Genomic DNA, 13,021 nt, shown 5'->3' with positions numbered 1-13,021 from the left:
GCCTCAGCCTCCCGAGTAGCTGGGACTACAGGCGCCCACCACCACGCCCAGCTAATTTTTGTATTTTTAGTACAGATGGGGTTTCAGCATATTGGCCAGGCTGATCTCAAACTCCTAACCTTGTGATCCACCTGCCTCAGCCTCCCAAAGTGCTGGGATTACAGGTGTGAGCCACCACGCCTGGCCTATTTTGTTTTTCATTTGCTTATATGCTTATTGCCTACTTTATCTCACCAGCATACAACTGAGGAAGGATTGAGACCTTACCTGTATTGTTCCTTGTGTCTTTGCAGAGCCTAGAATGGTACCTGGTACATAGTAGATACTCAATAAATGTTCACTGAATGAGTGAATGAAAAAAATGCTATAACAAAGAGGTTTAGAAAATGAAAAAGTTGATTGAACCTGACAAAGGAAAAACAGGATTATCTTCAAAGAGATTACTTTACAGCCCAATCCTAAAAGGAAAGCAACATTTCACAAGCTAGAGAAGAGGGGAAGGGCTGTGCAGGTTGAGGTCACAGCACAGAGAAAGGAACTGAGGCGTGAGGTTCAGCAGGGCTGCAAGCCAAGGTGTGGGGAGCACAGACAGAGCCAGGAGACAAGGCTGGAGAGGCCAGTGGGAACCTGATCGGGGGAGGCCTGAAGGACTCAGATGACAGTTTGGACTTGATCCTGTTATCAATAGGGGGATTATGGCAGGTCTTTAAGCAGGGGAGGGCTGGAAAGTCTGGGATGTATATCCTGGAGTAGAGAAGGCTCCAGTGACCTTCATCTCTATGAAGGACCTCTGTGCAGAGGGAACAGATGAGAGAGCAGCACTGAGGCTAATGGTAGAAATAGAATGAGATGCATTTCCACTCAGTAAAGAATGTGTTTTTAAAGGAGCTGAAGAGGAAAACGGGCTCCGGGGTGATGGAATCACCATCCATGCATCTTCAGTGACCCTCCCGGAAAGAGGATGATGTGTCTGGGACTTGTGTGGCTACTGATGTGCTGATAGAAATGATGTGTATTTCTTCTGAGGAGAGGCTTTAGGGCCAGCGAGTGCCTGCCACGTTCCTTTCCTGTCTGCCACAAGACTGGAACCATTCAGGCGTTGTGCCAGGGGAGAGGCTGCTCCATCACCTGGGTCCCAGAGTGAAACTGCAGAGGCCCAGCCGGCCGCCAGTGGACATGTGTAAGTGAGAGATACTTACATTACACGTTGTAGGCCATTGCGGTTTCTAGAGTCATCTGATATTGCTGGATAGTCACGGTCCCTTGGTCTGCCTTAGTGAGTCACAAGCTCAGCCAGGCTGGTTCCAATACTCACTAGCTGTGATGGATTTTCAAAGACAAACCTGGCAATTCAGCCCAGGCTTCTTTACAATGGAACAGCACCTCCTATCAAGAGGTGGAGTATATTTCATTGCTCCTTGAACTTTGGACTGGCCTTGAGACTTGCTCTGGCCCATAGAACCCAGTAGAAGTGATGCAGTGTGGCTTCCAAGGTTATGCCTTAAGAGACCTGGCAGCCTTAGCTTTCCCCTTCTCCGAAAAATACCCAAGACCACCATGCTGTGAAGCTATCTAGGATGAAAGGCCGCACGGAGAGAGATGCCCAGCAGTTGCAGCCCTCACAGCAGACCACTAGCTGAATGCAGCCACGTGAATAAGCTCAGGTGGGGCCAGCACAAGAAGCACTGTTTAAAGCTAGTGGAGTGGTTTCAAGTGGTTTAAAGCTAGCTCGAGTGGTTTGTTATGCTGCAGTGAATGACTAGGTAAGTGGCGTTGGGAGAATCAGCACCCATCTTGAAGTCCATTTCCTTGACCATAAAATACGCATAACAGTAACATTAACCTTGTAAAGAGACAATGTCTGTTGTAAAGTGTGTGGATGAGGCTCAGGTTTTTTTAAAGAAAGGATATAAAATTCATTTATTCATTCAACAAACATGTATTGAGTACCTACTGCGTATGTGTCAGGCACTGGGTCTACTCTGGGATGCAGCAATGAGCAAAATAAGCAAGGACCTGCCACGCTAGAGGTAGATGAAATGAGCCCAATAATTCCAGCTACAGATAATTGCTTTGGGGAAAGCCAACAGGGTAATGTCATGGAGGGTGACTGGGCTAGCACTTTGTTTAAGATACTTGGGGAAGGATTTTCTGAGCCTGTGACATTTGCACTGAGCCAGGCATTTGTTGAGAAGGGGGAGCAGCCTCCTTTTGAAGGACCAATAAGTGCAAATGCTCTAGCGTAGGGCAAGCTTGGCCTTGACAAGGAACAGGGACAAAGTCGGTGTGGCCGGGTGTATGAAGAAGAGGGACAATGGCCAGAGATGGGGTTGGTGCAGGGTCTTGTAGGCCGTGGTAAGGTGGTGGATTTCATCCTAAATGCAATGGAGCTGTAGAGGTTCTAATAGGGTAGTGATATCCTTCACACACTGTAAAGTGATTTACTGCTGGAAGCAGTTCATGGTTGGCCACCCATCTGATCAGGACAGCACTGTTGACCCTGTCCAGCTCTCAAAATTTCCAATTCTGTACTAGATCTGAAAACCTTTGGAAGCTCCTAAGCATCTTCATCATAAAAGGAGTCTTTGTTGTTACGAATAACCAGAATTGAGGCTCCCTGCCTTGCCGGAGGGCTTTGGGATCTGATGGCCCGAAATCCCTTCTGGCTCTCTGTATGTAACAAGAACCATCTTTCAAAGGAAGCCGGAAGAGGCCTCTCATTCTGAGGAAATCCAAACCACTATTGGACCAAAATAGAAAAACGTACTTTCTTTGGAATGAGTAATCCCTGCTGAGTCTGACTGCTTGAAATCGGAAAACAAAACAAAATAACAACCACCAAAAAAACCCATAAACCCAACAATTAAGATACTGAATGACATGGTATGGTAATAACTTTTACCTAAGTGGTCTGTGGAAAATTCTGATAAAAACCTACTGGTTTTTGTCATTGGTTATTTCTTGTCTGCATCCTGTGCTGTGTGGTAGCTCTGGGTTTGTGGTAGGGCACCTGAACTGTGGTTGGGCTGTGTGGGTGCGGATTTCCTGGCTGTCGTGTACTGAGAACCTTGAGAGAGGCATTGGAAAGGTCTCGGGGCTGGGAGTCCCTAGATGGATACAGCTAATTCCTGCCCCACCAGTGCTACTCCGGAGACCCCAGGCTTGGCTGCTTCCCCCAGCATCTCTGAAATTGCACAGTGACCCAGTTTTGGCTTGCAAGGGGAGGAGGGAACATCATTTTTTGACTATCTGCTGTTTTCTGTATACTGTGCTAAGTTATTTGGGTACATCATCTCTTGTAATTCTCACCACAGCTCTGTGAGGCAGATACTCTCATTTCCTCCAAGTTACAGATAAGGAAACTGAGGCTCAGAAAGTCAGATATGTCTCCCAGGTCCCACAGCTAGCTGGGGGATTCACTTCACCAGGTTTCTGCTTTTAACCACTCTGCTCTCCCGGTCCACTCCAACAGCAAAATAGACGGTTCTATGGGAACCTAGAGTAGAGAATGATTCAGCCGGGGGTGGAGAGGGATCCAGGAGGCAACTTTCATAGCGGATCTGGAAGCATAAATAGGACTTCGTTCATGGGAAGGGCTGGGAGGGATGTTTCAAGCAGAGACAAAGCATAGAAAGAAGTAAGTATGAGGTGTTAATAGGGAAAAAGGGACAGAGGTATTGCTGAGTTATGGGATAGAGAGGTGGGTTGGGGTAGAGCATAGAAGCCCTTGAACATTCTGCTAAGAAGCCTGGGCTGCATCCTGGTGGCAATAGAAGGTGGTCAGTGCAAGATAGAATGTTCATCTGAGAGATGGTGAGCGGGAGAGCATTCTCCCTGGTGTTTGATAGAAGAAAGAACAAACTCAGGCATCTTCTGATTTCAAGGAACAGAGATGCCTGGAACTGGCTCAAGCATGCAGGACTTTATGGAAATGAAATTCAGGACGTCATGAGAAAAGGCTAGGACACGCAGCTTGGTCTCACAGAACCTGGACAATCTTCAGGCAACATCTATTCCTTTTTTTCTGCCTCTCCTGGCCAATCATCTTCTTTGTCTCCTTGAGCAGACGCATGTCCCCAATTCCAAATCCCCTGTAATTTTCACTTCCGTGGTACTGCTACTGGGGCCCTGCTTGGGCCTCAAAGCTATGTGACTCACAGATCCATGGCCCAGCACAAGTCGACTATAGCTCTTGAGTCTCTTAATTCAGATCATAAGAAAGACAAGATCTGAGGGAAGTGATTTGTAAAGTACCTAAGAGACAGGGGAGGGAAGTAACATTTTCTTGAATGCTTACTGTGTGCCAAGTGGGCACATGGAATATCTCAGTTAACCTCACAATAGCCTCACTGAGCAAAGGGTACAATCTCCATTTTTACAGGAAGGGGAGTGATATGGTTTAGATAGCTTCCCCTCCAAATCTCAGGTTGAAATATAATCCCCAATGTTAGAGGCCTGGTGGGAGGTGTTTGGTTCATGCGGGCAGACCTCTCATGAATGGCTTAGCGCTCTCCTCTTGGTGATGAGTGAGTTCACATGAGATCTGGTTTTTTAAAACTCTGTGGACCTCCCCTGACTTGTTCTCTTGTTCCTGCTTTTGCCATGTAATGTGCCTGCTCCTGCTTTGCATTTCACCATGATTGTAAGCTTCCTGAGGCCCTCACCAGAAGCTGAGCAGATGTTGGTGTCATGACTATACAGCCTGTAGAAGCATGAGCCAATTAAACTTCTATTCTTTATCAATTACCCAGCCTCAGGTATTTCTTTATATCAATGCAAGAATGACCTAATACAAAAAATTGGAACTAAGGAGTAGAGGTTTGCTGTAAAGATAGCTGATGGGGAAGTAACTTCAGAACTGGGTAATGGGCAGAGGCTGGAAGAGTTTTGAGGGCTCAGAAGAAGACAGGATGATAAGGGAATGTTTGGAACTTAAACTGGCTAAATAGTTGTGACTAAAATGCTGATAGTGATGTGGATGGTGAAATCCAGGCTGATGAAGCCTCAGTTAGAAATGAGGAACCTGGCCAGGCACAGTGGCTCACACCTGTAATCCCAGCACTTTGGGGGGCTGAGGTGGGTGAATCACTTGAGGTCAGGAGTTGAGACAAGCCTGGGCAACATGGTGAAACTCTGTCTCTACTAAAAATAAAAAAAATTAGCTTCACTAAAAATAAAAAAAATTAGAGTGTGGTAGCATGCACCTGCAGTCCCAGCTACTCAGGAAGCTGAGGCAGGAGAATCTCTTGAAACAAAGAGGAGGAGGTTGCAGTGAGCTGAGATCATGCCACTGCAGTCTGGCCTGGGCAACAGAGCAAGACTCTGTTGAAAGAAAGAAAGATAAAAAGAAAGAAAGAAAGAGAGAGAGAGAAAGAAAGAGAGAGAGAAAGAGAGAAAGAAAGAGAGAAAGAGAGAGAGAAAGAGAGAAAGAAAGAGAGAAAGAAAGAAAGGGAGAAAGAAAGAGAAAGAAAGAAAGAGAAAGAAAGGAAAGAAAGAAAGAAAGAAAGGGAGAGGAGAGGAAAGGAGAGGAAAGAAAGGGAAAGGAAAGGAAAGGAAAGGAAAGGAAAAGAAAGGAAAGGAGAAAGAAATGAGGAAACTATTGGGAACCAGAGCAAAGGTCACCCTTTATATGCCTTAGCACATAACTTGGCTATATTGTGTTAATGCCCTAGGGAACTGTGAAAGTTTGAACTTAAGAGTGATTACCTAGAGTATCTAATAGAAGAAATTTCTGAACAGCAAACCCTTCAAGATGTGACCTGACTGCTTCTAACAGCCTATGCTCATCTGTGGAAGCAAAGAAATGAGTTAAGTTGGAACTTATATATAAAGGGAGCATGAAAGTTTGGAAAATTTGTAGCCTAGCCATGCGGTAGAAAAGAAAAGCCCATTTTCAGGAGAGGAATCCAAGCAGGCTGTGGAGCAACCACTTACTAGAGAGATTTGCATGACTAAAAGGGAGTCAGGTGCTGATATCCAAAACAATGGGGAAAAGTCCCTGAAGGCATTTCAGAGCTCTTCTAGGAAGCCCCTCCCATCACAGACCCAGAGGCCTAGGAGGAAAGAATGGTTTCCCAGGCCAGGCCTGGAACTTCCATGCACAGCAGCAGGACACTGCTCCCTGCATCCTGGTAGCTCTAGCTCCAGCCTCAGCTCAAAGGGGTCCAGGTACAACTTGGGCAACAGCACCACAGGGTGCAAGCCATAAGCCTGGGCAGTTTCCATGTAGTGTTAAGCCTACAAATACTCAGAATGGAGGCATGAAGGAGGCTTTGTGGCTTCCATCTACATTTCAGAGGATGTATGGAAAAGGCTGGGTGCCCAGGCAGAAGTCTGCTGCAGGGGTGGAGTCCCCACAGAGAGACACTATTAGGGCAATTCTAAGGGGGAAATGTGGGGTTGGAGCCCCCACACAGAGTTCCCACCATGACACTGCCTAGTGGAGCTGTGGGAAGGGGATCACTGGCCTCCAGCCCCCAGAGTGGTAGATCCATTGGCAGCTTGCACCTTGACCCTGGAAAAGCTTCAAGCATCAACTCCAATCTTTGAGAGCAGCCATGTAGGTTTACACACAACAAAGCCAGAGGGGCAGAGCTACCCAAGGCCTTGGGAGCCCACCCCTTCACCAGCGTGCTCTGGATATGGGACATGGAGTCAAAGGAGATTATTTTGGAGCTTTAAGATTTAACAAATGCACTGCTGGATTTCAGATTTGTGTGGGACCTGTTGCCCCTTTCTTTTGACCAATTTCTCCCTTTGTGAATGTTTATCCAATGCCTGTACCACCATTGTATCTTGGAAGTAAATAACTTGTTTTGATCTTACAGTCTTGTAGGTGGAAGGAAGATGAGTCTCAGATGAGACTTAGGACTTTGAACTTGATATTGGAATGAGTTACAACTTTAGGGGACTGTTGGGAAGAGATTATTGTATTTGGCAGTGTGAGAGGGACATAGGAATTGGGGATCCAGGGGTGGATAAGATGGTTTGGATATTTGTCCCCTCCAAGCCTCATGTTGAAATGTAATCTCCAGTATTGGAGGTAGGGCCTAGTGGGAGGTGTATGGATCATGGAGGCAGATCCCTCATGAATGGCTTAGCACCATCCTTTTGGTGATGAGTGAGTTCACACGAGATCTGTTTTTTTAAAAGTCTGGGACCTTCTCCTCTTGCTTTCTTGCTCCTGCTCCTGATGCACCTGCTCCACCTTCATCTTCCACCATGATTGTAGGCTCCTGAGGCCCTAACCAGAAGCCAAGCAGATGCTGGTGCCAGGCCTGTACAGCCAGCAGAACTGTGAGCCAATTAAATCTCTTCCTTATCAATGACACTGTCTCATTTATTTTTTTATAGCAACACAAGAATGGTCTAATATAAGAAATGACTTGTCTAGGGCCTAACAGCAAGGAATTAGCAGAGCATGAGAGTTAATTTTATTTGTCACCTTGGATGGGGCCATGATGCCCAGATATTTGGTCAAACATTATTCTGGATGTTTCTGTGAGGATGCTTCTGGGTAAGCTTTCCATTTATGTTGGTGGATTTTGAGTAAAGCATATTGCCCTCCATATTGTGGATAGACTTTATTCAATCAGTGGAAGAGCTAAACAGACCAAAAAGACTGATCTCCCTCAAGCAAGAGGGATTTCTTCTTACAGAATTTGGACTTAAACTGCAGCATTAGTTCTCTCCTGGGTCCCATATATATCCTATTTATTTTAATTCTCTGGAGCACCCAGACAAATAACCAGAATAGGAACTCTTAGTCACCTACTAGAGCGAGAATGGGAGAGAACATTTTGGGCAGCTGGGGGACATGTTGACTGACACAGGCATCCCAGGACTGGGGACTTAAGTAAGAAACTAATAGCCCAGAATACAGGGAAAGCCAGGTCCAGGGATCAGCCTAGGATGAGCCCCTGGGAGCCTGGCTCGGTCATTAATTAGAGTCCTATGAGATAAGGGGCTCAGAGGTGAGGCTAAGGAGGTGAGCCTAAGGCCCAGCCAAAGAAGTCTTGGGCAGCTTGTTCCCGGTCTAGGCAGAGGCAGAGAGCACTGATGTTCACTACAATGATTCCCAACTCCCTTTACCCCTGCTCTGTACCCACTTCAACTGCTGGAAATTTAGAGAACAGTTTTCCTAGACTCTGTTGCCACTACGGGTTGTCATGTGACCCAGTTTGGCCAATGTGATGGAGGGACGAGGAAATTTCCTCTTATAATAAGAAAGACAGACACCAGGCACACCTTCTCCTGCTGCCCCGATGGCTTATCCCATGACCTCCTTCCTTTGATCCTGCAGGTGAGGCAGCCATATTGTGACCATGAGGGAAAGACCATGAGAACTGAAGGGAAATGGACTCAGAACCCAGATATTGTAAGGCTCCTGGAGAAACCCTGGAAACATCTACTTCTCAACGTTTTCGCTTGTGAGCTAATGAAACACCCTATGGTTAAGCTACTGTGAGTCAGAGTGTCTGTTATTTACAGCTGAACACATCCTGATTCAAGGAGGAAATATATAAATGTGCAGCAGATATGACTTCATCTCCAATTTGCTGCCCCTTGAGAGTATGGCGACCCAATTTTCCTCTGTTAGGATATTCTTTCTCTGCATCCTCCACATGCTCCCCTCTGAAGCTTAGATATTGTCTTCTCTGGATAGCCAACTTCCAAGTCCCAGGCTGGATCTCACACCCCTCCACTGAACTGTCTTAGTCCTGCATACACCTGCTTTCATAGCATATGTCACATGGTCTTGTAATGGCAACTTTTCCACAAGATGTGTGCTCTGTGAGGGCAGGAAAGAAGAAGAGAAAAGGGAGTCAGTGATATCAACCTCCTCAGCAGACTTTCACTTTTATCTCATTGCCCAGACCTACCACATGGTAGGCACCCTAGCTGCAAGGAAGGCTTGCAAAGTGACGATTTCACCCTTCCAACTTCTATAGTGGAAGACACGCAAAGGAGAAGAGTACTGGGAATGGAAGCATGGGTTGGCCACCAAGCAGCATTTGCCACAAATGACAAAATATTTTAAGTTCTTTGATGTTTTAGCCATAACATTATTTTTATTTTTTTCTAAATGGGAATATTTTATTATTTTTTCCTAACTCTAAAAGCAACGAAGCTTGTTTTAAAAATTGAAACCTTATGGGTTATGGAGTGAGGTTCCTAAAATCTTTTTCCTTTAGATATAATCTTATGAACAATTAAATCTATGTATTATTTTGGCATAAAATATTTTTTGTCCAAGCATAAAAATATTTTAGACACTTATTTGTAAAAGTGGGTTATATAACATATACTGTTTTGTTATCTACTTGTTTTTTTTTTAACTTAAGACTAGCATGGCCATTGTACATAGTTATACAAATAGAGATGACTTAACCTTTTTTAACAGTGGGATAATTTCAGTATTAGTTATCTATTGCTATATCATAAATTACCACAAACTTAGTGGCTTATAACAACACATATTTATTATCTCACAATTGCTGTGGGCCAGGAATCTGGGCTTTGCTTAGCTGCATTCTCTGTTTTAGGGTCTCTCATTAGACTGAAAAGTGTCTTCCAGGATTGAGTTATCTTCTGAAGGCTTGACTGGGGAAGAAAGAATCTTGCTATGGTTTGAATGTCCCCTCCAAAACTCATGTTGACATTTAATTGCCATTGTGATGGTATTAAGAGGTGAGACCGTTAAGAGGTAACTAGGCCATAAGGACTCTGCCCTCATAAATGAATTAATGTTATCATGAGAGTGTGTTTGTTATTGCGAAAGTAGGTTATTGTAAAAGCAAGTTTGGCTCTCTCTTCCTTGCTTGCTCTCCCTCATGTGTGCCCTCTCACCCTTCTACCTTTTGCCATGGGGTGATGTGGGAAGAAGGCCCTTGCGAGTTGCTGGAAATTTGATATTGGATTTCTCAGCCTCCAGAACTGTGAGAAATAAATTTCTTTTCTTTGTAAAATATTCAATCTATGGTATTTTGTTATAGCAACACAAAACAGACTAAGACATATCTGCTTCCAAGCTCACTTAGATAGTCAATAGAATTAGTTCCTTCTGTGTTGTTAGACAGAGAGGATGAATTCTTCCATGGCTGTTGGCCAGAGGCTACCCTCAGCTCCTTTCCATGTGGTCCTCCCCTACTTCATCAGATCAGCAAGGGAGAGAATCTGCCAGCAGGGTGGAAGTCCGAACCTTTTGTAATTGAATCACAGAAGCGATACCCACTCAATGCTATAGTATTCTATTGGCTGGAAGCAAGTACTAGGTCGTACCCACACTTAAGGGGATGGCATTACACAAAGGCCTGGACACCACGAGCCAGGGGTGGTGGGGGCTGCTGTCTGCTGTGGTGTCCCACTTGTTCAACTATTTTGCTGAGGCATGCTAAGGTTGTTTCCAGTTTTTTCACCAGTATAAACAATGCCATCATCCTTGAACTTGTATCTTCATGAACTGGTTCAAGATTTTCTTTTTTCTTTTTTTTGAGATGGAGTTTCACTCTTATTGCCCAAGCTGGAGTGCAATGGCGTGATCTCGGCTCACTGCAACCTCCGCCTCCCAGGTTCAAGCAATTCTCCTGCCTCAGCCTCCTGAGCAGCTGGGATTACAGGCACGTGCCACCACACCTGGCTAATTTTTTGTATTTTTAGTAAAAATGGGGTTTTACCATGTTAGCCAGGCTGACCTAAAACCCCTGATCTCAGGTGATCTGCCCACCTCAGCCCCACAAAGTGCTGGGATTAGAGGCGTGAGACACCGTGCCCAGCCTGGTTCAAGATTTTCTTTGGAAAATTCTTCATGGTGGAATTTCTTGTTCTAAAGGCAAATATATTCTTGGGTAAGTGGCCTCCCAAAGGCTGACCAAATGTGTATGCCCGACATGTGTGTGTGAATGTGGACTATTTCTTGTCACGCTCACTAATACAGCATTTAACAATCTGTTAAACCGGCCGGCCATGGTGGCTCACGCCTGTAATCCCAGCACTTTGGGAGGCCGAGGTGGGCAGATCAAAAGGTCAGGAGTTCGAGACCAGCCTGGCCAATATGGTGAAACCCTGTATCTACTAAAAATACAAAAATTAGCCGGGGGTGATGGTGGGTGCCTGTAGTCCCAGCTACTCAGGAGGCTGAGGCAGGAGAATCGCTTGAACCTGGGAGGCAAAGGTTGCAGTGAGATGAGATCGCACCACTGCACTCCAGCCTGGGTGACAGAGTGAGACTCTGTCTCAAAAAAACAAAAACAAACAAACAAAAAATCTTAAATATTCTTCAATATGATAGATAGAAACTGGTATCTTTCTGTTTTAGTTTGCAATTCTTTGTTTCTCAATAAGGTTGAAAATATTTTCTTGTTACCAGCTACTTGTTTTGGTCAGGATTGTTTGGTTATCACGTACAAAAATAGCCTTTTTTTATTTTTTAAAAAAATTTTTATTTGTATTTTTTTGAGACAGGTTCTTGCTCTGTCACCCAGGCTGAAGCACAGTGGCATGATTACAGCTTGACCTTGCAGGCTCAAGCAATCCTCCTGCCTCAGCCTCCTGAGTAGCTGCGACTACAGGCAGACAGCACTATGCCCAGCTAATTTTTAAATTTTTCTTTTGTACAGGTGTGGTCTCACTATATTGACCAGGCTGGGTTCAAACCCCTGGCCTCAAGTGATCTTTCTGCCTTGGCCTCTGAAAGCCCTGGGATTATAGGTGTGAGCCATTGCACCGTGCCAAAAAGCCATTTGAACTAGCTTAAGTATAACATAATGGAAGAGAGTGTATTTTGTAAGGACACAGAAAAACTTTATAAGCAAATTACTGCCTTGCCTTTATTGGATGCAGAATAACTTCCATCCCAAGTTCTTGAAGTCACTCCCTTCATTGCTCGCTCTCTGGGGACCCAGGGGATGTCATCTCTTTTCTCTCAGCCCATCTGCTCTCCTTTCTTCTCCTTCTTTGCTGGTCAGCTCTTCTGCTTAGAGGGGTAAGCTCCTCATGGCTTTCTTTTAGTGTCCAATACAAAACACATCCATTATATAAAATTTGGTTAATGTAGATGTGCATAGAGCCAAATGTAACAATGTAATCCTCACCCTAATCTCTTCTCTCAGTGATATTGACAATGAACTATGTAAAGAGTACCTTTTTCTCCACCCTCTAGAGGACGATGATGATGGTGATGGTGGTGGCTACCAGTTACACAGCATTTAGTATGTTCCTAGCATTGTTCTAGGAGTATTGCATGCTTTAATGCTCCTTAAAACAACCATTTGAAGAAGACACAATTCTTTTTTTTTTTTTTTTTTGAGACGGAGTCTCGCTCTGTTGCCCAGGCTGGAGTGAAGTGGTGTGATCTCGGCTCACTGCAACATCTGCCTTCTGGGTTCAAGTGATTCTCCTGCCTCAGCTTCCCAAGTAGCTGGGATTACAGGTGCGCGTCACCACGCCTGGCCAATTTTTGTATTTAAAGTAGAGATGGGGTTTCGCCATGTTGGCCAGGCTGGTCTCGAACTCCTGACCTCAGGTGATCCACCTGCCTCGGCCTCCCAAAGTGCTGGGATTACTGGCGTGAGCCACCGTGCCTGGCCTATTTCTCATTTTATAGATGAGAAAACTGAGGGATAGAGAGTTTAAGTAATTTGCTAATAATGCCAGGTCCAGGATTCAAACCCAGGCAATTTGAATCTTCAACACAGAAACACACACACACACACATGCACACACACACTTTAAAAAATACATTAAAAAATAAAAAAAAAATCACACTGTGCAGTTTCTGCATTTTTTTCTGTATAAAATGTTTACCTCATTGTTTTTAATCACTGAATGGTATTCCCTTGTAGTGATGAACTGTAATTTTTAGCCAGTCCCCTATTGAGGGACATTTTAGTTGTTCCCAATCCAGCACTTCACAGGCACCCTCAACAGTAAGCCTGACTTGATGGCAGTGACTCTGGCCTTTTCCTAAAATGACCTTTCAGGTTGACTCCGCGCCAGCTGACAGCTCTGTGACTCATCTTTT

At 44.9% G+C, this 13,021-nt stretch overlaps 1 annotated feature.

Annotated features, from left to right (window-relative positions):
• Nucleotides 5,691-6,215: an enhancer, noted in NCBI's record as "NANOG hESC enhancer chr5:175076996-175077520 (GRCh37/hg19 assembly coordinates)". NCBI's record gives its function as "activates a minimal SCP1, AML or CMV promoter by ChIP-STARR-seq in primed H9 embryonic stem cells {active_cell/tissue: H9 hESC(primed)}" and the evidence as "EXISTENCE:reporter gene assay evidence [ECO:0000049][PMID:30033119]".

This window comes from Homo sapiens, chromosome 5 (assembly GCF_000001405.40).
Source record: "Homo sapiens chromosome 5, GRCh38.p14 Primary Assembly".
In the NCBI taxonomy this organism is placed as follows: Eukaryota; Metazoa; Chordata; class Mammalia; order Primates; family Hominidae; genus Homo; species Homo sapiens.
The sequence above is the reverse complement of the archived record's forward strand: the minus strand, read 5'-3'. Positions and strand labels throughout refer to the sequence as shown.